This window comes from Homo sapiens, chromosome 5, assembly GCF_000001405.40.
Source record: "Homo sapiens chromosome 5, GRCh38.p14 Primary Assembly".
Lineage (NCBI taxonomy): Eukaryota > Metazoa > Chordata > Mammalia > Primates > Hominidae > Homo > Homo sapiens.
Window position 1 is genome coordinate 148,443,460 of NC_000005.10, and position 25,855 is coordinate 148,469,314.

At 38.7% G+C, this 25,855-nt stretch overlaps 1 protein-coding gene and 1 long non-coding RNA gene across 3 annotated transcripts in view; one reads left to right on the forward strand and one right to left on the reverse strand.

The window, feature by feature from the left end:
- The window catches only part of HTR4 (5-hydroxytryptamine receptor 4), a 203,496-nt gene continuing 185,213 nt past the window's right edge, over positions 7,573-25,855 (reverse strand). Inside the window, exons 6-7 of one of the 2 annotated variants that reach the window (NM_199453.3) lie at positions 22,391-22,466; positions 7,573-7,813 (exon numbers count right to left, since the gene is read on the reverse strand). In NM_199453.3, coding sequence (NP_955525.1) covers positions 22,406-22,466 — 61 coding nt within the window. In that variant the 3' untranslated portion in view covers positions 7,573-7,813; positions 22,391-22,405. The remainder of the gene's footprint in view (positions 7,814-22,390; positions 22,467-25,855) is intronic. The other variant, NM_001040169.2, reaches the window with a different exon arrangement.
- The window catches only part of LOC107986462 (uncharacterized), a 107,158-nt gene continuing 90,673 nt past the window's right edge, over positions 9,371-25,855 (forward strand). The window contains exons 1-2 of the long non-coding RNA XR_001742935.2: positions 9,371-9,713; positions 25,461-25,558. This is a non-coding gene — a long non-coding RNA (uncharacterized LOC107986462). The remainder of the gene's footprint in view (positions 9,714-25,460; positions 25,559-25,855) is intronic.

The following is a 25,855-nucleotide window of genomic DNA, read 5'->3' on the forward strand; positions in this document are numbered from 1 at the left end:
CCTGCAGAGTCATGGCTTTGTCACTTGCCAGCCAAGTGACCTCAGCAAATTACTTAAACTGAAGGCCTGTGGAACATTTTTATAAATTTTCTCTAGACATGAAATTATGGTCAAAGGTGTAAAGTTTCTTTGAGATTTGTTCAGCCCCTTCATTTACAAGGGCTTAATTGAAGCCCAAGGGGGAAAATTGCTCACTCATAATTAGGACCTGTTTTTAGGCTAGGTAGGACAATAATCCCAATTTCTGATTCCCACTAGGCTGCCTCTGTTTTTCGTGACAGAAATACAAGGATGCCAGCAAGTTTTTCTAACACAAAATATTCCGCGTTAATCAGTGTCTTTCCTTAACGTTCTCTTTTTTTCCCAGGCTCTAAAAATTCTCATTACATTAGGAAGAGTGATTCAATTGGGTACTTCATTCTATTGTCTCCTTATTACATTATTTTTAACTCAGCTAACTTATAATTAGACAAGTGTGTTTCACTATACAGATTACAAGTGTGGTAAGAGGCAGGAAATACAGAATATCCTAGATATTTCAAAGTAATCTGGGATTCCCAACCCTGAGCGAAGACAATCTAACTCTAGGTTTTCACTGTAACCTGTTAACCAAATTATCTAAGTAATGCTTACATTAGCCACAAGAGGCCGCTGCTTTGTAATTTTTGGCTTAGTCATGTCTTTGTCTAACCTAACCTAAACTGTTAGATCAGTGGAAGTACAGCTGGCAGCGCTAAAATCATTCAAAAGTTGCTAAGACTGGAATAGCTGAAAAAAAATCTGGAAGATGCCAACTACGATAGTCACTCTGAATATATATATAATACGAAGGGCTGGAGAGTGATTGCTCTACAGCAAGGGTCAGCAAACTATATAGGTCCAAATGGTAAATATTTTAGGCTCAATGGGCCACATTCTCTGTGGCAACTGCACAACTATTGTGAAAGTCATAGACGATATAAACGAATGGGCATGGCTGTGTTGCAATAAAACTTTATGGACACAAATTTCAATTTCATGTAATTTTCACGTCACAAAATAAAACTTTTTCCACAGCCATTTACTAAAGTAAAACACCATCCTGAAGGCTCATAGACCAGATTTGGCCTCCAGGCCACGGTTTGGCCACACCTGCCATAGAGAACTGAGATATCCTATTCATTCATTTAATTATATCACCAGCTGTTGGTGCAGTGCAGTGCCTGGCACATTTTTTAAAGGCCTTAAAAATACTGCATGGATGATATATAACTTAATATCAGTGAGAGAATTGTGTCTCATTGCCAGGTGTGTAGGTCTAACAGTCTCCCTAAATAATAGCTAGTACCACAATTCTTACAGGGACTTCATATGTAGAATCTGAAGACCTGAGTTCAGTTTTTGACTTCCTCAAACAACTGATGGGAGAGCTGGAGATGGTTGGAACCCCTACCCTTCAGCCTCAGTTTTCTTTTCTGTCAAATGGTAACAACTAATAATATAACCACCCACCCCATAGGGCAGTGGTTAGTTTCCAATAGGAGCCGCCAGTAAACTGGACAGTGTGATGCCAGTGGAGGTAGTATTGCTTCCAGTATAATTTCTTTTATTATCAAAAGAAGTTTGGGTGTTGCCCAGGCTGGAGTGCAGTGGCACGATCTCAGCTTACTGCAACCTCTGCCTCCTGGTTCAAGCGATTCTCCTGCCTCAGCCTCTCAAGTAGTTGGGATTATAGGCACCCGCCACCATGCCAGGCTAATTTTTGTATTGTTAGTAGAGACGGGGTTTTGCCATGTTGACCAGTCTGGTCTTAGACTCCTGACCTCAGGTGATCCACCCGCTCGGCTTCCCAAAGTGATGGGATTACAAGCGTGAGCCACCGCGCCCAGCCAAGTTTGGTTTTGTTTGTTTTTTGTGGCGGGGGGGGCGGGGGGCGGGTGCTGTGTGGGGTTTTTTTGGACTCATCTTTCCATAACCTGTTCCTCATACCATATTCCAGGATAGTAGGAAACAGAACTGGTGAGGCTGTTGAGAAAGAGGAAATCATGACAGTATGAAAGCTAGCATTTTTAAAAGTGATCATTACTAAGTGCTTTCCATACCTCCTGCAATAACACTTTAAATGTATGATCAATATGTTCCTACTTTACTGGTGAGAAAACTCGGTTTTAGAAGGTTACATAACTTGCTCAAAAGCACACATCTAGGAATTGATGGGAGCAGGATGCTGTCAAAGGATGACATCCTGCAGGATGAGTCCAAAGCCTGTGCAACTTGGGCAGTTTCTTGGTCCTTCATAATGAGAGGAGGCCCATATAAGGGTGGGCCTGCCCTAATAGGGAACCTGCCAAGTCAACTTACTGCTGCCACTTAAATTGAAACCACTCCAGCTATGTTTAGCACAGTCCCAGAAAAACAGAGGCTGATTTTCTGATGCGGGAGATGTCCCATTTACACATGGGAGGCAGGTAGAATGCAAAAGAACACTGCAATCCATACAATGTCTATAGCAAGAAATGGATACGCAGCAGCTAAAAAAAACTATATGTGTTAATGTGAAATGATGTTTAGAGTACACTGTTGAAAACGCAAGTAGCAGATTATTATATACCAACATCATTTTATTTACATATAAGAAAAAAAGCCATATGTTATACATGTACATTTATACATATGTAAATGCATAGAAAATTACATTTGAATTACATAAGCCAAGTGAAAAAAGCATTTACTTCTGGGGAGGGGGGTAGCATTGAGTTGGAGTCAAGGGGTATTTTCTTGTATGTATTAATATATATAACAAATTTTTACAGTGGAAATGGATTGCATAAATACATCATTTATGTAACCTATTATTTATATAGTCTAAAAATGTATAATTTATATATTTAGAAATAAAATAAACTTAAGAAGGAAGCACTTTGTTAGAATTGAGAAATCTGAATGTTTTCAGTCCTCTGACTTCAGCCTCATATCAGCTCTTGTTCTTGGACAAATCACTTTCCCTGACAAAGTCTTTCCTCTTCTGTAAAATGAAGTCAACAATCCCTCTTTATATACTGTTATGAGAGACTTAGAGATCTTATAAAAGTGCAGAGAAACTGCACAAAGCTTGCAATGGTAGGCTGATGCTTAATGAGACCAATGGGAGCATATCCAAATAGTGTTCCAGGTTCCGACCAAGAAATATGGGGAAGGCAAACTGCCTTTTTCAGGGGCCACTCCTACTATGAGCAGCCTCTCTGATGGCCTGGAATATAAAGGACCAATGCTTTCTTTGACTCACATCTTGTTCTCACAGTCTATTGCTGGTTATTCAGTAATCCCAGGTTGCTGAATACTAGACAGACTATAAAAGATCAGTGCAGAGGGCCTTTCCTGTTGATCAATAATTTACCAGAGTCTTCCATGGTTTAAAGATGGAAGTTGAGGCTCAGGGAGAGGAAGCAAGAGCAAAGGAAAACAAGAAAGCAAATGAGTGGCAGAGTTCAAACTGGAATAGGCATTCCAGAGTTCCTCTTCGGGTCCCAGGCTGATGTGGAAAGGAAAATTCTTAAGCAACATTGTTCATTGCTCTCTCCTAGCAGTGTCTAACAGGTGAAGGTGGAATACATACATCCCCATAATGACCACAGTTGCACATGCTTAGGACTGTGGGCCTCATTTAGAATAAGACTGCCTGGGTTTGCATTTCAAATCCACACTTCCCAGGTCTGCTACCTTGAGCTAGTCGCCAGATGTCTTAGCTGAGGTTTGCTCAGCTGTAAAGTGGGGGTAATTTTCATTCTAATCTTGTAAGGATTTCATAAGGATTAAATGAAATAGTTCATATAAAGCACTGACCACAATGCCTAGCAGAAAAAAAAAACTCATTAAATGTCAGTTTCTCTTATTGCTATTTTATTATTATTTTTATTAACAAAGATATAGATCTGGGGCAAACTGAAAGAAAAGGTAAAGAAGGAGAAACCTAATCTGAATCCACTGTAACAGTAGTTAAAAATGTATGCAGTTTCTTATCCCTTCTCTCCATGTTTCCAAAAGTGTAGAATGCAGCTTGTAGCTAAATCACAATAACTCCTAAAGCTTGGAAGCTTCTCTTTTGTAAATTCTCTTTTGACCCTCCCAATTAACTGAAAGAGCCCCAAGCAAGAGGTAGGGCATTTCTAACAACTCTCCAACATTCACTTGTCTCCCTTTTAAACACAGAAACAGAGGTTGCACTTTGATCACTGGCATCTAGTTAAAACTCATTAGCCTTTTTTTCTATTTTGAGTACTGATATAATGTTCCCTTCAAAAATAAATTTAGGTAAGTGAAAACTTGAATGGACTTAAATAAGGATATTAAATAGGTAACAGAACAGGCAGAACACATTTGATAAAAATCCTAACAGTGGCCCTCAGATGACCCATGTTGGAGCACTTACAACAATCGTACAAACTCAGAAATTATCTCTATTTTGTAGATGAGACAGGTGAAGTTAAGTGTTGGGTAAGGCCCAAAGCAATGCGTTGTTCATACTTAGGACTTCAAATCCATTCCTGAATTGTTTGACTTCAAACCAAATATTCAGCCTCAGTTTTCTAAATTAGATGGAAAAGAGATTACAAATTTTGGCCAGAAGAGGTAAATGCATTAGTCTTTTTTTCCTTCCTAGACTAGATGTTACAAGATTTTGACCACAGCAAAGTGAAGAGACAAAAAGAGAGGAGTGACAACGTTTTCTCACCAGAGAGATCCAATACCAAAGAGATAAGTGGGTAGACAGCACAGCACCAAGAAGACATTATTTTTGTTCTTGCTTGAAGACAATATTAAAGGCAGTGTAGTTATATCCACTCCCCAGCCCCTCCCTAGGTCCCCTCCCTCATCCACCCCATGCCCACCCCCGCCCCCCCACCACTCTCCAGCTAGACAGCAATTTGCATCAGGACAGAGCAAGTTAGCAGCACGAAGTGGAAATGTTGGCAAGACAAGAGGGTGGGGCCTCAGAAGGAAAAGGTTTTTTTACAAGCATATACTTGGGTATCAGTTTAAGAAGTTGGTTTTTATTTCTTTTGCTTTCTAGCAGTTAATGGTGAAGGCTAGAATGGTGCATCCCTCTCTGGTTTCAGAGCTGAAGAGTCTTGCAGCCTGGAGAGTCAAGTGGAGAGGAGGCACAGTGAACTTCCTTTGTCCCAGACATGGGGATAGTCTGCTTGTAGCATTTATCAACTCCAGTGATTGTCAAGGCCAATCTGTTAGATATGTCTGCAGCACATCATCCTCTTCCTCAGATGCTTCTCTTCTTGACACGGCAGGCTTCCTGGAAGAGGGTGGCCTTCTTAGAGAAGAGGGCAAGGTATACGTCTCCTCCTTCCTTGGATAAGCTATAAGTCTTCTCTTTCTGAGTCTTTCATACACATGCTAAATTACCTGGATTCCTAGACAAGGCTAGTAGCTGCTCACACAGAACAAGTCTGACCCTGTCCTGTAAATCACCAATGTTGGCATTTGAGGAATCACTCACAGCATCCCAGCCCTAGTCCAAAGTGGTAGCAAAGCAAGCTTGTAAGGCTCTCCTCTGCAAAGGAGACCAGTTTCTTGACAATGACAAGGAGTACTATTCTTGCAATTGCTGTCTTTCCCTGGTCCAGGGTGCCTGTGACCTCTACAGACACCAATCATGGGCTGGCTCACAAGCACATCTAGAGAGTTAAGAAGAGTCCTGTGATGTAGTGAGATCTCATTTTCCTCCCTATGTTGTAATCTTTGTGTCTCTATTGAATCCAAGTTCCCATTTAATATGGAAGACCTGCCACTGAGAAATAATATTTTACATAAGCAGATATGCTTACTAAGCTCCTGGGAAAGAAATATTTCATAAGGGAGAAATCCTACTGTAGTTATGTATATGTGTATGCATGTATGTATTAAGTAGTAGATCCTGCCAACAATGGTGGCATTAAACAAAAGTTTACCAGCTACCTCAAAGCACTATTATCTGGTTCTTATTATCCCTGTTTTAGTCCTTCCCTAAGAAATGCTTTGTTGTTGGAGGGGAAGAGAGCCATTTTCAGAAAGGAGAACTGTGGACTTCCAAATTCACTAATCTTTGCTTTTTCCATGAAAAAGAGAAGAAAGAGAATCCACTCTGAGGAGGGATGGGTATTAATCCTCAACACAGAGAGGTCCCATCAGTGTGGTGACCAACGTTCCTTAGTTTGCCCGGGACCATGGAATTTCCTGGGATAAGGGACTTGAATGTTAAAACCAGAAGGATGATCACCCTAGTCTCCTCTGTGGTGTCTGACTATCCCTTCTCACCATACCTGGGCACAGAAAGAAAAGAGAGGGCTGGCTAATGGGTTCTACCTTCATGGAAGAAATAAGGGTTAAGGAGGCAATTGTGGCATCTGATATCAGTTAGGAAGAAGAAGGATCAATAGACCAAGTAGAAGGGCAAAGAAAACTTGTGAGGTTTAAACTCCTGGCACATCTTTATCTTGCTGTTAAACTCCTGGCACGTCCTCAATCAGAAGTGTGTTACATATCAACCTCAACATCGCCCACATGCCCTGTTCCCTTTGTCTCACTAAGGGAGGACCAGTAATAAATCCTTTCAATAGGGTTTTAAAAAATCAGCTCAGCAGCCGAAAGAAAGGCAGTTTTAAAAATTTGCCCTCAGACCCTCAAGCTGAGTATATAATTTACCCCAAGATGAAGGAAGATGGTGATTGCTTTGACTGAGAAAAAGAAGCATCTCCATAGGTATTTCGAGAGGATAAGATGCTGATAAATGTGAAGAAAAGTCAGTTTCCCTCCCAGACTCTGGGTTGTAAGGTCATTCTCAATCAACATTCTCAGGAAAGAAGTAAGATCCTTTTCCCATTGCCATAGAAATGAAATGAATTCCTAATGACCTCAACATAAATATGCCAATAAGAAAATGCCAACTTTAAACACACATATGTGCATGCACGCACACACATCAGACAAGCTGCAAAGATGCCTTTTAGTAATGGCTCTGAAGCCAAAACCTAGGCAGAATCTCCAAAACCTATTCCCAAGTAGGAAAAGGAGGAAAATATTCATGGCTATAAGCCAAAAATCTTGACACTTCACTTGTCACTATGTCAATGCTTCTAGATAGACATATTGGCATTGATATCAACCTAACTTTATTAGAAGAACCATGATTAATTCACCCACCAAAGCATGTCCAGAAGAAGATGGCCACAATGGAGAGGAAACTTGAGATGTTTCAGTTTATAAAAAAAACTGAAAGGCATGGTGACAGATTACTCTCTTCCAGTATTTAAGGGCTGTCACGGGAAAGTGGGGCCTAACTGCATGGAAGTTGGAGCAGCAACAGGTTTGTGTTCCAAGAAAGGAAAGAAATTCCTTATAATGAGAGCTTCTCCAAAATAAAAGGGCCTGAATTAGGAGGTAGTGAGCTCCTGTCCCTGGAGGTGTATAAGCAGAGAATGACCAACTTTCAGGGATGCAATAGAAGATGCTACTCCTGCTTTGCGTGGGAGGCTGAATCTGACAATGCCTGAAGTTTCTTCACAACTCTGAGACCCTCAAGGCTCTGGCCTCAGCTACCCCCCAACACTGTCCTCCATGTACCTCCTCTGGGCTCTCAGCCCCTACTACCTGATGCCTCACTGGTGGTGATGAGGTTCAGAAGTGATGCCAGGGTGACCTGTTCATGCAAACATGAATGCGAATGAATGGCTAAGTTGTGAGCCATGTCCTCAATCAGAAGCATGATTCCAGGGATTCTGGGTCATTGTGTATGGGCAGTTTCTCGAGTTCCTGATGATGTCCCCTGTGCAGAACGGTGTACCTAGAAAGGAAGGAAAGAAGGCATGAGAATTCAACAGGCATGCTCCAACTGCACCGAAGTCAAGAGCACTCCTTCTACTCTTGACTTCCTTTCTTTGCATACTTCTGAGGGTATGGTGAAGTGGGAGTGGGGATGGGGTGATACTTCATAGAGATAGAAAACCAAATGAACTGCACCCAGATTACTCATATTAAATGTGGAGAAACAGTCCTGGAGGAAACGACAGGCCTAGGAGTGCATAGGGGGTAAGTGGCAGAGCTGGGACAAGAACCCAGATTTCTTACTGCCAACAAAGCCTGGGGTTCTTGTGTCACTCATCAGAATGAACCCTATGTACCACCTCAAGCTGTACCTGAATATGCTATGTCCTATCTACCAGGGATAGTTTTGGGTTCTGACTGCTGATTGAGATGAATAAACCACTCAGAGCCTGAAATACAATGTAACTGTATTTGTTACTTTCATTCCTTTTGGTGCCATTTGGAACAGTAAATCAATTAGATGAATCAAACAGCAAGTTGACACTAAGCATCACAGTGAAATTTACTACTTGACAAGTGTTTATTATTTTTCTGCCGTATCATACAATTGCACTCAATATCTTAATTGCCTTTAAATGCATCTCAATTGCAGGCGAGTCTCATCATCAGTTACCCAGATTCCAGCATCTGGCAGCCATTCCTATGAAATTTCTACAGATTTTAGAAGCATGTTCACCACTCATTTCTCTGAGGCCAGTGTCAAGCACTTTCAGTGAGACAAACAAACAAATACCATTCAGCTATTTGGCATCATATGTTGACAAAACAACTTGGTGGTAGTTTCTCATGACTTACATTGATGCTTTGCTTTGAATTACAATAATTTATTGTTGATTTGTATTGACAAATTGGTTTGTACTAAGCCCTCTCCATAAATTACTTTATTTAATCCCCATAATTGCCTATTAGATAGTATCATTTTCATTTTACATGTGAGCAAAATAACGCATAGTCAAGTTTAGTGATGCCCATGGGAATATAGGTCATACATGAAGACACATCCAATCAAACCCACTCTAGCTCATGCCAATACCCATGTGTTTAACTGGTTCTCACAAAGCCCATGGACTAGGTATAAGTCTAGAAAAGTGGTTCTCAGCAGAGAGCATTTTGTGCCCCAGGGGCCATTTTGGAAGCATTTTTGGTTGTCACTGAAGAGGTAGCTCTACTGGCACCTAGCGGGTAGGGACCGGGGATGCTGATCAGTGTTGTACGATACATAGCACAGCCTCCCACAACAAAGAATTATCTGGCCCAAAATGTCAACAGTGCCAGGATTGAGAAACCCTAATCTAGAATAACTAGTCCCTTTAGCTGGCTAGAAGCAGGTGTTGATTGAAGAACAGGGCCTCAGTGAAGGGCATGAGTCCGAGTTCTCACAGAACCGTCCACCGCAGCTGTTGTTGAGAGAGAGCTAAGCCAAGGGGATGTGACATACAGAACCAAAGCATCTGCTACTACTTGCCAGATAGGTCAGTGTTAAGAAGAATAAAATGGGAAAAGAGATAGAAAGGGCCAGATCAGCCACTATTAACTAGGGTGGCCAGGAAATGTCCCAGTGAGATATGCAAGACCTTAGGGAAGCTAGAGTCCCAGCTAGTGAGTCGTAGATGCTCAGCCTCCAAACCATGCCTTGCGTACTTGGCTTTGCCATTCTGCAAACCAAATGTCTGCTTTGTTGGCTGGCTTCTTGTGCAGCTCCATGAACACAGGGTGTCACAGGGGAGTGGAAGCTGGAGGAAGGAAAGGGGCTCGCTCCTGTGAGCTTTCTGTCTGCTGTGGTTCCTATATACGTCATTCCTGGAATGCTTCTTTACCCCTCAGAGGCAGTGCTTTTCCGGAGCAGCAGCTGAGTCCAGGTTAGTCTTTCTAACTCTTGCAGAACCAGCCTTACAGCAGCCCCTCAGAAACATCAGGTTCATCTGGACAGTCCCTCTTTCTCAAAGGTCTAAATTTCTGCTCAGTAGGGTCCCTATTCTAAGTGTCTAAGTTTTTGTGATTATTTTATCTATTTTCTCAGCCCTAGAGCTAGTAGTTGCTCCCTGCAGTTGCTAACTCCATAATACTGCAGAGCATTCTTTCAGTGTTAACGACTATATGCCTAGTTAGCAATATTTTATGTTAAAATGGTGTTTAAATACTCAGGCCGTTTCTGTCTCCTGACTGAGCCCTGTGAGATATAGTGAGAAACTGAGGCATGTGCCTATCTGGGAAAATAACATTCTAGGTAGAGGGAACAGCAGATGCAAAGGTCCTGAGGTTCGATCCTGCCTGGCATATCTGAAGAACCTCAAGGATGCAGCTGGTTGAGGCAGAAAGAGTAAGGGGAGGAATGAAAGGAGTTGACGTCAGCAAGGCAGCCAGGGCCAAGTGGGCGGGGGTGGGCTTGAAAATCCCTATAAGGCTCTGGCTTTTACTACATGTGAGGGGTCTGAGCAGAGCACCAACATGGTCTGAATGGCCTCTCAGCAGACTCCCTCTGGATGCTCTATTGTGAATATATGGGATGGAGGTAAGGTGTGGACAGTGAGACCAATTAGGAGTTTACAGCAATAATCCAGGTGAGAGAAGACAGTGACTTGGTCCAGGAAGTAGCTGTAAAGGTGGTGAGGAATGGTCAGACTCTGGATATAGAAATATAACTCCCAGTAGCCATTGTCTGATGTATTTAATTCTGCAAAAGGTTTAGCCTTCACAACTTTTCTCAGGCCCTGTCATGTGTGGTTATTTCCCTTTGCCTTGTCTTGTCAGCTAGAGGGCTGCGTTATGCAGAATAGTAACCATGACCCTCACTTGAGTCAAGCAAACCTAGTTCCCATTCAGGCTCTACCACTTGCCAGCTTTGTGACATTTGACAACTTATTTAATCTCTCTATGCATCACTTTCTATACCTCTGTAACTGAGGTTAATGATACCTACCACATAGCTTTGCTCTGTGGATTAAATAACATAATGTAAGAAAAACATTAACACAGAGTCTGCCACATAGTAGAAGCTCAATATGTTGAAGCTAAAATTATTTTTTTTACTTTTTAATCTTAATTTTACTATTTTATTGAGATTAAAAAGTACCACTTACCAACTTTGTGACATTTGGCAAGTTATTTAATCTCTCTATACCTCACTTTGCTCCTCTGCATTGAATGAAGAGTATGTAATGATAATGATGATAATGATAATGATGATGATGATGTACACATAGCCTTAATGGCTTAGAAATATTTTTCTCTTTTATTTCCTTTTTGGATGAAACTTAACTGGCCTCAAGATATAGAAGCCTCCCTGACTTTGCCTTTCCCTTCTCCCTTATCAGAATCACAAAGCCCTCTTTTGGCAAATATGCGTACTAAAGCAACACCAATTGATTTCCCTATCAACAGACTCCTTTTATAATCACAGTTGCTCTGCAGGCCAGGCAAGGCAGGTGATAAGACTGGTATTATACAGAGGCGAGAAGTGAGGCTCATAGCAGCTGAGTGAGTCTCCTGAGTGTCATGACGGGTGAGCGCAGGCCTGGCCAGGACCAAGGTCAGGAACCCCTTCCCCATTGCTCTTGCCCCTGAGCAGCATTGCTTAATGACTTATGTATGAGTCTTCAAACAAGGGCTCAGGACCAAACAGCCCTAGGAAATGGGGCTACGCTTTAGTATCTGAGGTGCAGGGATATCCCTGAAGTGGATGTTTGTGCAGGAGAAAACTGAATGACAATACTAAGAAATCATACACAGCTCAATTTATTAAGACATTAGGATGTGTGCCAGGTACCATTTTTGGAAGTTACATACCTTATTTCATGTATACAATTTACTTTTTATACTCACTAAGTGGCAGGTGCTCTACTTAGACTGTTCTTACAGATTAGAAAACTGAGGCTCAGAGCAGTTACGCAGTTTATCTAAGGTTACAACATGCATGGTGCCCGTACCCTTAACCTCAGAACACACTCCTGAACCTTTGCCCTGTTCTATGGCTAATAGATCACTTTCACTGGCAAGCAATGACACCTTCTCCTACACTGAGTTCGCATGAAAAAGGTATCCTAGTTGAGAAGGCAACCAGACATCTGTGACCACGTAAAAAGATGTACTGCCGTGGAATGCAGGCAACCTCTACAGCAGCCTGCTTTTCACACGTCTCTCCTCATAAGCATCTGTTTCTCATGTGCTAATGAGTCACTTGTCAGGAATAACTAGAAAAGAAGTGTGGGAATGGAGTGGATATTCCAAATGGAGTTTCCCTTTCTCCAGAGGGCAGTTGAAAGGCAACAGCTCTCTGTGGATATGAGAGTAAGCAGATGGGCACGTTTTCCAGTTACAGTTGATCGTTGAACAGTGTAGGAGTTAGGGTTGCTGATCCCCTGTGCAGTTGAAAAATCTGCATATAAGTTTTGATTCCCCCAAAACTTAAATACTGGTAGTTTACTGTTGACTGAAAGCCTTACTGATAACATAGTCAGTTAATGCATATTTTGTACTTATAATAAAGTAAGCTACAGAAAATGTTATTAAGAAAATCATAAATAAGAGAGCATATATTTACTATTTGTAATGTGGAAGTGGACCATCATAAAAGTCGTCATCCTCAGCATCTTCACACTGAGGAGGCTGAGGAGGAGGAGGATGAAGAGGGGGGTTGGTCTTCCTGTCTCAGGGGTGGCAGAGGCTGAAGAAAATCCATGCGTAAGTGGACCCAGACGGTTCAAACCCACGTTGTTCAAGGCTCAACTGTACAACATTTGAGTGGTTCCTCTCACCATGGTATGGTGACTGATAGACACAGGAAGGAGGAACTAGTCCAAGCTTTCCTTGGCAGGAGTCTAGCAGAGGACAGCACATCCCAACTGGAGTCTGGCTTATAAAGACATACCCTGGGTTTGAGTATTCCCAAGTCTGCATGATTCAAGCATATATTTTTAAGTTGGTATTTTCACTTTGGTAATAAATAAATAATAGGAGCAGATCTGGGGTCATCTGGTTGGCCACCTTATAAACTTACATTGCCTTGTGAATTCAGAGCTCACAGTTGCGTTCATGTACACACCGCTGTTGCTGGCTAACTTTATGCACTGTCTCTAACTGGAGGGTGCAAACCTCCAGCAGTCTGTAGGCCCATTCATGGGGATCTAAACATCCTCAATTTGGGAAATATTGAGAGAAAAGAAAGCACAGGGTACTGCAGGCAAACCGAATAGCATTCAAATCCCAAATTACCATCTACTAGTTATGAGGCATGGTCAAATAAGTTACTCCCACCTCCTTGACACCTTTGTTGTGAAAGTGAACATCTACAAATGCCTTAACAGAAGGGCTGGGCACACAATGGATGCAGTAATCTTCACTGGTAAGTAAGACGAGATTCAGAAAATGTGAGTTTCCTAGGCTCAAAGAAATAAATAAATCCGGAATCATTAAGAATACAGGTTCTTGAGGCAGAATGCCTTGGTTCAAATCCTGGCTCTGCCATTTACTAATTCTGTGAATTATCACAAATGTTCTGGCTTGTTGTAGACATTAAATGAGATAATGCACATATAATGTTTATTGGAATAGTGCCAGCCAAAAAGTATTGCTCTTATCTGATGATTGAGGTAGAACTTGAACTCAGTACAAAATTCCCAATTCAGTGCAGAAATCCTTTCCTCAGTAACTGAACAAACGTTTATTCACTTGTTAATTGATCACAGAGCTAAGGAAACCTTAACCCTGTGATCAATTAAGGTCACTTAGAGCAGCTTGGATTTGGGAACTAGTAGTACAATAATAGCCCCCCTCTGCCTGCCTAGCCTGGCATTATCTGTAAATGGCTTTACAAATTAACAGCTCTGGAAAGAGACAATCATCTGTCAGAGTGGCAAAAGTCTCCCTGTTCCATTTGGTGCGAGATCTTACTTGCCTTCTCACAGCTGCTTTGGTGGTAAGACAACTCTAGATGAGTGGGTATACCTGGGCAGTTTCACATCTAATTAAAAAACACTGCTGTTTCTCAAGCAACAGCAATGCAAGCGACAACTCCCTTCAAGCTGGGTTGCTTCCCCCATTTGCATTAATTTACTCAAACATGACGGGAGCCACATTAGATTTGGTAATTACCTGAGTCTACAATTCATTCACTGAGCAATTAGCATCGCACTTAGAGCAGCCTGGATGTGGTAATTAGTAGCGTAATAATAGCCCCCTCTGCCTGCCCAGGCTGGTATTATCAGGAAATGATTAGACTTTATTATACATCACCCCAGCCTTCTCCTGCAAGGCAGTGTTCACAAAGACTGGGTGAGGAGGGAGGTTTGCTAGATGTTTTAATCATCAAAATATATTATATATTAATATATATTTAATATATCATTAAAATATATTTTAATATATCATTAAAATATATTTTGATATATCATTAAAATATATTTTGATATATCATTAAAATATATTTTGGTATATCATTAAAATATATTTTGGTATATCATTAAAATATATTTTGACATATCATTAAAATATCATATATTTTGATATATCATTAAAATATATATTTTGTTATATCATTAAAATATCATATATTTTGATATATCATTAAAATATTAAAATATATTATATTTTAATATATATTTAATATATCATTAAAATATATTATATTTTAAGATATATTAAATATATATTAAAATATAATATATTTTAATGATATATTTAATATATCTTAAGATATATTAAATATTAAATTAAGATATATTTAATATATATTAAAATATATTATATTTTAAGATCTATTTAATAGATCTTAAAATATATTATATTTTAATATCTATTAAATAGATCTTAAAATATAATATATTTTAATATCTATTTAATATATCATTAAAATATATTATATTTTAATATCTATTTAATATATCATTAAAATATAAAGTGCCTTGGTTTAAAGAGATTCAACCCTAAGGCAGTTTCACAAAAGCCAGAGCTCTGTTAGCTGGAAACAAAGATTTTACAGTTGGTATTTTTTCCATGAACACAAATCCTAGACATTTATTCATCCAGCCACTTATTTACTAAAATTTTTTTTTTTGATTGCTTACAACAGTCCAGGCACAGTGCCATGCCTTGGACATATCAGAGTGGAGACACAGTCCCTGTCCTCATGGAGCTAGCAGTGTAGTGTGAGAGACCACAGCCAGCTATAAGATTATAGCTACAAGTAGTGTCAGGAGTGAGAGGTATTTGGTGATGCTATGAGAGCATGTCAGAGGGGGGATGAGATCTCGGTTAGTGTGTCAGGGTTCTGTCACTGAGGAAGCGACAGGAGATGAGAACTGAAAATTGAGTAGGGGCTCACCAAGCCAGGGTGGGGAGGATGCAGGCAAAAGGACCAGCAAGAGCAAAGGCCCACAGTCCTGGGGGCAGGCCCATGTGGTGAGAGGGGAACAAAGTAGGCATCAGCCTAAGATGAGGGCACAAAGTCAGCAGGGACCCACCACACTAAGGACTGTTGTCCTCGTCCTAAAAGCAATAGGATGGCAGCCAAGTTCATGAGCAGGGGAGGTTCCTGAAGATTTTATGTTTTTAATGAACATTCTGGCTGTGGTGTGTTGAATGGACTAGAGTGAGGTTGGAGTGAAAACCCAGGGGTAAATTAGGAGGTGTATTAGCTTCCTGTTGCTACTGCAACAAATTACCACAAACTTAGTAGCTTCAGGTAACACAAATTTATTATCTCGCATTTCTGGAGCTTAGAAGTCCTGTATGTTGGTATCAGTGGAGGTATTGAGATGTAGTTGGATTCAGGATATAGCTTCAAGGTAGAGCTGACAGGATCTGCTGATGCATTGACTGTAGGGGCAGTGAGGACATTCCAGGCATGGGCATGGAGTTGGCATGACTGTAATTGATAGACTGTTAGAGACTCTGAGTGGACAAGTATATGAGAGATAAGAACTCGAGGGGGGAGGGCAATAATAGGGGACCTCTCAATTTTGTGAGTTTCACCTTCAGGAACTCAACCAGATTTCACTGTAAATATCTGAGAAGAATCCCCTCATGCTTCTGACAGGGAGGAGGGAAGTAATTATTTTGAAATATTCCAGAGCATTCTGTTCTTAATGAGGTCTGCCTTCAGGAGAAATATGTAGCAAGCCTAACCTATGAGAATTTTATCTAGCCCAGCTGACCTTGGGGGAAGGGAAATATCCAACTCCAGCCCCCTTAAGCCACCCAAGAACCAAAGGGGGTGACAAACTAAGAAGCACGTGTGAAGTTCACTCACAGCCCAGAAGCACAGGATCTCTAGAAGACAGAGAACTAATCACAGGACTACAAACCATTCCCCTCCCCGCATACCTTAACACCATATGGGTAAATAGTGTGCCTGTTTACTAAAGTGTCTTTACCAAAGACATCATGTGTAGCTATCAAGAAAAAATTACAAGGCATAGTAAATGGCAAAAAACAAAACCAAACCAAAACAAACAAACAAAAAAAACCACACAGTTGGAGAGGCCAGCTTAAGCATCAGAACCAGAATCAGATATGGAAGGGACATTGGAATTATCAGACTGGGAACTTAAAACAACTGTGATTAATATGCTAAGGGTCTAATGGAAAAAGTAGATGACATGCAAGAACAGATGAGTAACGTAAGCAATGAGATGGAAATTCTGAGAAAGAACCAAGTAGAAATGTTAAAGGTCAAAAACACTGCTGCAAAAATGAAGACTGCCTTTGATGGACTTATTAGTAGACTAGACATGGTTGAGAAAAGAATCTGTGAGCTTTAGGATATCTCAATAGAAACCTCCAAAATTGAAAATAAAAAAAAGACAGAAAAAAAATACAGAGCACAGTTTCCAAGAACTATGGGACAACTAAAAAAAAAAGTGCACCACAAGTATACAAGAAAAAGAAAATAGAAAGAAACAGAAGAAATATTTCATGGAGAATAAATAATCATGGAGAATTTCCCTGCAAATGAATGTCAGATGCCAAACTATAGATCCAGGAAGCTCAGAGAATACCAAGCAGGATAAATGCCAACAAAATTACAACCAGGCATTTCATTTTCCAACTAAAGAAAATCAAAGATAAAAAATTCTGACAAAAAGCCAGAGTGGAAAAATACTTATAGAGGAGCAAAGATAAAAATTACATCCAACTTCTCAGAAACCGTGCAAGAAAGAAAAGAGTAGAGTGAAATGTTTAAAGTGTTGAGAGGAAAAAAAAATGGCAACCTGGAATTCCAACCCTGTGAAATTATCCTCCAAAAGTAAAGGAGAAATAAGAACTTTCTGGGACAAAAAGAAATTGAGGGAATTTGTTGCCAGTATACCTGCCTTGCAAAAGGAAAAAATCTTCACAGACATTATTTAGATGGAAGGAAAATAAATAGGCCAGATTCTCAGTTTTACATAGAAAAAGGAAGAGCATCAGAGAAGGAATAAGTGAAGTAAAATAATAGCTTTTATTTTTCTTATTCTTAATTGCTCAGGTAGATAACAGATTGTTCAAAATAATAATAGCAATAATGTATTAATTATGCATGCTTTTATGCTCCTCAATGGAGTTACATCCTGATAAATCCATCATAAAGTTGAAAAATTGTTAAGTTGGACCATCATAAGTTGGTGACTATCTGTACATATGTTTATGTGTAAATGAAATGAATGACAGCAATGAAATAAGGGATGAGAAGAGGAATTATGATTATTTTGTCATTATAAGGTATTTGTACTACCAAAAAGTTGTATAGTATCATTTGAAAGTGGACTTGGATTAGTTATTAAATATGTTTTCCCAACTCTAGGGCAACCACTAAAAAAAGTAAAAATAGAAGTTAAACTGATATGATAGAAAAGATAGAAAATAGAATAATATAAAATGCTTATTTAAAACCACAAAAGGTAGAAAAAGGGTAGAAGGCAAAAATAAGAACAAAGAACGAGGGCAACAAATAGAAGACAAAAAATTAATTTAGCTTTTTTAAGAATCACTTTGAATGATAATTGGCCTAAATACACCAATTAAAGGACAGAGATTGTCAAAATCGATCAGAAGTAAGACCAAACTATATGTTGTCTACAAGAAACCCACTTTAAATTTAAAGACATATAGATTAAGAGTAAATGGATGGAGAAATATATACCAAGGTAATATTAATCAAAAGAAAATGAGAGCAGTTATATTAATTTTAAACAGAACACACTTCAGAGCAAGAAAAGTTATCAGAGATAAAGAGGTGCATTACGTAATAATAAAGGTGTCAGTTCTCCAAGAAGACATAATAATCCTTAACACTGCATACACATAAGAACAGAACACCAAAATACAGGAGGCAAAAACTAAGAAGTGCAAGGAGAAATAGATAAATTCACGATTATAGCTGCAGACTTCAACACTTCTCTATCATAAATGAACAGATACAGAAGGCAGAAAATTAGTTAAGGGCATAATTGAACTCAACAGTACTATGAATCAGTAAAATTTATATCAATAGACTACTTTACCTAACGATGCCAGGATAGACATTCTTCTTAAGTTCATATGGAACATTTACCAATATATTACACATTCTACATAAAACTTACCTTAACAAATGTAAAAGAATAGAAATTACACAATGTCTGCTCTCAGGCCACAGTGGAATTAAAGTAGAAATCTATAACAGAAAGATAGGTGGAAAATTCTGAAATACTTGGAGATTCAGCAACACACTTCTAAATAACATATGGATCAAAAAAGAAATCTCAAAATAAGTTATAAAATATTTTGGACTAAATGAAGAAAGATCTAAAATCAGTGATTTAAGTTTCTAATTTAGGAAGTTAGAAAAAGAAGAGGAAACTAAATTCAAAGTAAGTAGAATGAAATAATAAAAATTAAGGGAGAATTCAGTGAAATTGAAAATAAGAAATTCATAGAGAAAATCAATAAAACAAAAAGCTAGTTCTTTGAAAACAATAAAATTGATACATCTCTAGCCAGTCTAAACAGAAATGAAGAGAGAGAGAAAGAACAAAAATTATTAACATAAGAAATGAAAGAAGCGACATCACTATAGACACCATGGGCATTAAAGGGATAGTCAAGAATAATCAAGTACTACAAAATATGCCCACAAATTTGATAACCTTGATGAAATTGACCAATTCCTTGAAAGACACATTCTGCTAATACACAAGAAGAAATAGACAATATGAATAAGCTTATATATATATTAAAGAAATTGAATAAAAATTAATAACCTTTCAAAACAGAAAGTACCAGGCTGAGATGGGTTCACTGGTGAATTCTGCCAAACATAGAAGGAAGAAATTATACCAATTCTCTAAATCTGTTTTAGAAGATACAAGCAGAGAGAATACTTTCTGACTCATTCTATGAGCATTATCCTGTACCAAAACCAAAGACATTACAAAAAAACAAAAAACCCTATAAATCAATACCTCTTGTGAACATAGATGCAAAAATCATCAACAAGATATTAGCAAATCAAGTCTAACAATGTATACACAGAATTGCCCACCCAACTAAGTGGAATTTATCTCAGGTATGTAGGGCAAATACAACTTTTGAAAATCAATTAAGTAATCCATCATATCAATAGGCTAAAAAAGAAAAATCACATGATTATATTAATAAATGCATAAAAAACATTTGACAAAGTGTAACCTCAATTCATGATTTAAAAAGCTCTCGGTAAACTAAGACTAGAGGAGAACTTTATTAATTTGATATCGAAAATCTACACAAAACCCACAGCTAAAACCAGGCTTAATGGTGAGAAACTCAATTATTTCCCCTAAGATCAGAAAGAAGTCAAGGATGTCCGCTGTCACCACTGCTTTTGCTTTGCTTTGCTTTTCATTTCTTTTTTTTTCTTTTTTTTTTTTTTTTTTTTTTTTTGAGACGGAGTCTCACTCTGTTGTCCAGGTTAGAGTGCAGTGGTACAATCTTGGCTCACTGCAACTTCCATCTCCCGGGTTCAAGCAATTCTCTTGCCTCAGCCTCCCAAGTAGATGGGACTACAGGCATGCACCACCATGCCCAGCTATTTTTGTTTTTTTTTGTATTTTTAGTAGAGATGGGGTTTCACCACGTTGGCCAGGATGGTCTCCATCTCCTGACCTCGTGATCCACCCAGCTCGACCTCCCAAGGTGATGGGATTACAGGCATGAGCCACCACACCTGGCCTGCTTTTCAAGTTTGTACTGGAATGTTGTAAAATTGTAAAATATGTACAAGATTTATATGAAGAAAAGTACAAAACTCTGATGAAAAATATCAAATACGAACATAAATGGAGATATATTCCATGCTCATGGATAGAAAGGCTAAATATTGTCAAGATGTCAAGGCTTATAATTGATTTATAGATCTAATGCATTTCCAATCAAAATCTCAGTGAGGTTTTTTTTTTTTGTTTGTTTTTTAACAAAGAATAACTAATTCTAAAGTTTATATGAAGAGACAAAGACCCAGAACAGCCAACACAATATTGAAGGAGGAGAATAAAGTCAGAGGACTGATACTACCCAACTTCAAGACTTAATATAAAACTGCAGTAAATGAAGCAGTATAGTTTGGCCAAAGAATAGACAAAGAGATCAGTGAAACAGTATAGAGAGCCCAGAAGCAGACCAAGGTAGATATAGTCAACTTATCTTTGACAAAGAAGCACAGGCAATACAAGGAAGAAAAGATAGTCTTGTCAACACATAGTGGTAGAACAACTGGACATTGACATGCAAAAAAAAAAAAAAAAAAGAATCTAGACACAGACCTTATATCTTGCAGAAAAATTAACTCAAAATGCATCATAGAGCTAAATATAAAATAAAAACCATGACAATTCTAGAAGATAGCTTAGGAAAAAATCTAGACAACTGTTGGTTTGGTGACAACTTTTCAGATATAACACCAAACGTACAATTCATGAAAGAAATAATTGATGAGGTAGACTTTATTAAAATTAAAAATTTTGCTCTTTGAGGTTAAGAGAATGATAAAGCAAGACATAGACTGGGAAAAAATATTTGCAAAAGACATACCTGATACCAAAGGCATACTATTATCCAAAATATACAAAGAACTCTTAAATTTCAATAATGACAAAATGAACAACCTAATTTTAAAAATGGGCCAAAGACCTTAACAGACATCTCATCAAAGAAGATATTTAGATGGCAAATAAGCAAATGAAAAGATGCTGCACATATATCATCAGGGAATTGCAGATGGAGATGAGACACCACTACAAACCTATAAAAATAATCAAAATTCATCATACTGATAGCATCAAATGCTAGCAAGAATGAGGAGCAACAGTAATTCATACAAAATTGGTTGGAATGCAAAATGGTTTAGCCACTTTGGAACACAGTTTGTCTGTCTTTTTACAAAACTAAACATATTGTTATCATACAATCCAGCAATTGAGCTTCTTGGTATTTACACCAAGGAGTTGAAAATGTTGATGCAAAAACCTGCACACATGTATACAGGAGCTTTATTTGTAATTGCTAAAACTGGAAAGCAACCGAGAAATTTTTAGTAGGTGAATGGATAAATTGTAGTGCTTCTGACAACGGAATATTATACTGTGCCAAATCGAAATGAGCTATCAAACCATGAACAGACATGGAGGAATCTTAAATGCATATACTAAGTGAAAGAAGCCAATCTGAAAAGTTTATGCACTGTATTATTTCAAAAATATGACATTCTGGAAAAGGTAAAACTATGGAGAAAATAAAAAGATCAATTGTTGCCAGAGGTTGGGGTGGGGGAGGAGGAGGAAGAGATAAACACGCAGAGCACAGAGGATTTTTAGGGCAATAAAATTATTCTGTAAAATACCACAATGGCAGATACATGTCATTATGTGTTTGTCCAAGCCCACAGAATGTACAGTACTAAGAATGAACTCTAATGTAAACTATGGACTCAGGGTGATAATAATGTGTCAATATAGGTTCATCAGTTGTAACTAATTTACCACTCTGGAAGAGGATATTGACAATGGGGGAGGCTGTGCCTGGGGTAAGGAGGCATATAGGAGATCTCTGTACCTTCCCCTCAGTTATGCTGTGAACCTAAAACTGCTCTAAAAAGTAGTCTCTTTAGAAAACTTTTTTAAAAAGTACCTTATTTAGTCACGATCAATTGTTTAAGAAGTATGAAGGAGTCCACCACTTACAGCCAAGGAGATAAAGAAATGAATTGGAGCACTGGGGGTAATCCAGATGAGAGGACTTCTAAGAATCACAGTTATACTGGGTGATTTCAGCTCCATCGCAGTGCTCATCTCCCACAGGGCTTGTGAAGGCCGTGCTCCCAGAACAGGGAAGAAGCCAAACCCATCATTAAAACATTTAAAAATAGAAAATTAAATAAACCACTGAAACTATATTAATATGGGCTCTGCAGTTCTGTGCCAACAATTGTGCACCCTTAACTTTGTCCTGTGAGGACAGAAGTATAAACAGACACTTAAGGATATTTTGTATAAAGAAATAAATAGGCAGACACAGACAGACTCACAACAGACAGTGACAGACTTACAGAGCACTTTCAGAGTTAGACAGGAACTGGTCTATTGCAGAAGAGCAGGAGGAAGCTGGAGACAGGGGAACAGCCACTTTTAGTTGAAACAGAAAACAGCCACAGATGAGGGAGAGCCAAGCAGAATTTGGGAAAGAAAAAAGAAAAAAAAAACATAGAGATTAGTAGACACATGATCTCAGCCTAAATAAGCTTGCCAATATTCTTAAAGTGCTTTTAGAGGAGGATAAGGAGGGGAGCATAATTATTGCACAACATGGTTATGCCACAGTGTACGTCTAAAAAGCACACTTAAGTTAGTGTTTCATCTGAGTCTTGCAACAACTTGGGATGTTCACAGGACACATTACTACCTTAATTTACCAAGTAAGGAAACTCAGCCTCTTCTTCCCTCCTGTAGCTAATCTCCATGATATGTCTATGTTGAAGGATCTTTGAAAATATAGTTGAATATATATGGCCACTTCCTCCATATAGTCATCTCTGACCGTCTCAATGTGATACTCCCTTTCCTTCTTTTAAACAAACAGCACTTTCTGCTTCTGCAATTCATTTAACAATACAAACCGCTGTGGCTTGTTAAATGCAACTGCAAGTGAATTGAAATAGCACGTTTTCAGATAAATTACAGACCTTTTGGGGAAAGGAGCCATGACGTACTCATTCAGCACAGTTAGATATGTCACTGACCATTAACTGAGCAATGGTGGCTGAGAGTTAAATGTCCAGAATTCTAATCCCAGCTCCATTACTAAGTAGCCTTGCAACCTCAGTCCTCCCTACGGTTCAGTTTCCACATCTACACATAGAGACATTACCAGTACCCTCTGTCAGAGTGTTACAGTGAATAGCAAATGAAGTAAGTCATGTTCATCATATATAAATAATTCCTGGTATAACATTTATAAATATCAGCTAGCATCATTTTAATGCAACTTTAAGTTAAATACATGATTAAGTGGTCATTTAGACCTCCAATTTTTTCTTCCTTCAACTTGATTTGTCTTGTATTTCATTAGCCTGATGATATGCCTTGGTATCCTGAACTAACAAAGCTCTCTTAGTGTTACCATCTGAAAACTACGTCTATTTTATGAAAATTTCCAATTTCATAATTCATAAGCCAGTGTGAAAATTTAAGAAAGAAACTCAAACATTTTCAATGGGCTCTAGATAATCATTTGAAAATTTAAATATCTGGGTATCTGCATGTCATGCTTCTCTGAAAATTAAACTTCAAGGCAATAAGGATCCATTCACTCAAATAGCAGGATTGTTGAATTTTAGTGCACAAAGGGTAGCCAAAACCATTCCTTCACTCTTGATCTCCCACAATTAAGCGGTGTTGAATGTTCCTGCGTGGAGCTAGAATTACACATGAGATAATATTATAAAATTATTACACATCACCAATATCTGGCATATATATGTTATTTTATTAGACCTTAATAATTATTTAATTATGATCCTAACAACTTTTACATGCCTATTTAATATTTCTTCCTAAATTCAGGTAACAATGGTGGGTTTTTTTGGATGCAACCCTTAAGGAGTTAAATGACTGAACTTTTGAGTGTGCACCATGTAGATAATATAGACATGTCTGAAATTACTGAGCAAATTCTGGCAAAAAATAACCACAGCCCTTTCCTTGTGAAAATTTCAGAAGAGGATATAATGCTTATGAACACTTGTTTCCACCACAACATGCTTAAAAATGATAAATGTGATTAATGTCACACAATAATGTTAAGATGAAATCTAAGGTATTACTATAAAATAAAAATTTAGATTTTCAGAAACTGTATAATTTGTATAACATGCCTTATCCACAGTCTCCTATTCATGTCAGCCTTGCTGGATTAACAGTATAGTTTTCCTGAGACCTCTGGCTGTTTGCATTTTTCACTGGCTCGAATGACCATGTAAAACCACACCAACTTTAACATATGTTTTTACATACAGAGATTGTCACTTACATTTGTATTGCAAACCATAATTGTACAAAGCCCTTGGACATCCATTATTTTGTTTTCTACTCACCACAAACCCTTGAGGTTGGTATGGTGAAAAGGAGTGTTACACATTTCCCCCAAACCCCACTTCCCAGACAATGTAGAAAACTTTAAATGACCATGGCACAGCCTATTCTAGAAGGTCAGTCTTCCCATTCTTAAGTTTGGATATGTTTGGTACAGGTAGGGCCTTAGCCTGTCAGCCTGGGATAGAGCTGAGGTAGGTCACAGGCCTAGGAAGCAGCGCAGGTGGCTGTTGTGTTAGCTGTTGTGTGAATGGTGATGTGACAGGCCAGGGATTGGTTGGTGGTTAGCCAACTGCCTGGCAGCAGGTGTTAGGAAAACTCAAAACCAGGAAGAGAGGGCTTATGTAGCCAACAAAGAGAAGAGGTCAGTAGAGACATGGGATCCCAGAACATTGGCTCAGAGTGCTTCAAACACCTGGATAGCTCCCAGACCTGCTTTGAGTTTCTAAGAACCCCAGCTTTCCTCATTACTTCTATCTCCTGTACTCTGGCAGGAACTCTTGGCTACTTAAAATGGTCTTATTTACAAATATTGAGTTATAAGACCTTACACTTGTTTGCCTTTGCCTTAGAAGGAAGAACTGAATCTATCCCACCATAGGGATCCATAGGGGTGTCTTTCTAGGAAGGGAGGTCTTCTTGTCCCCTTCCTCAGACTGAGAGCTCTGTGTCACAACAGTTGGGGAACAAGTCTCAGAACTGCTTCTAAGCACAGCTTACTTCCATCGTTGGAAGCAGATGTCATTTGCTTATCCTAGCATGGCAAAACCCTGTCTACAAAGTGTATTTTATTTATTCTGCCCTATACATCAAGGACAATGCTGAAGAGTCTTGATATGGCTGGCTGTGTCCCCTCCCAAATCTCATCTTGAATTGCAGTTCCCATAATCCCCATGTGTCGTGGGAGGGACCCAGTGGAAGGTAATTGAATCATAGAAGCAGTTACCCCCATGCTGCTTTTCTCATGATAATGTGTGAGTTCTCATGAGATCTGATAGTTTTATAAGAGACTTTTTCCCCTTTTGCTAGGGACTTCTGCTTGCTGCTGCCAAGTGAAAAATCATGTATTTACTTCCCGTTCCGCCGTGATTGTAAGTTTCCTGAGGCCTCCCCAGCCCTGCAGAACTGTGAGTCAATTAAACCTGTTTCCTTTATAAATTACCCAGTCCTGGGTATGTCTTTATTAGCAGTGTGAAATGGACGAATACACTTCTTAAACATAATTTTTATTATTTTTGCAGCAACAATACCAGGAAACACAAATTTACATACTGCTCCACAGTAAAGTCTATTTGAATCTCCTGACTTAAAAAAAATCTGAGCTAAAGCTGGTTTAAGTACTATAGAAACAACGGGGTGATATGAAGATATGATGACTCCTTTTATAAACTAACTTCAAAATGTTAGCTTTTTTTATAGTCATC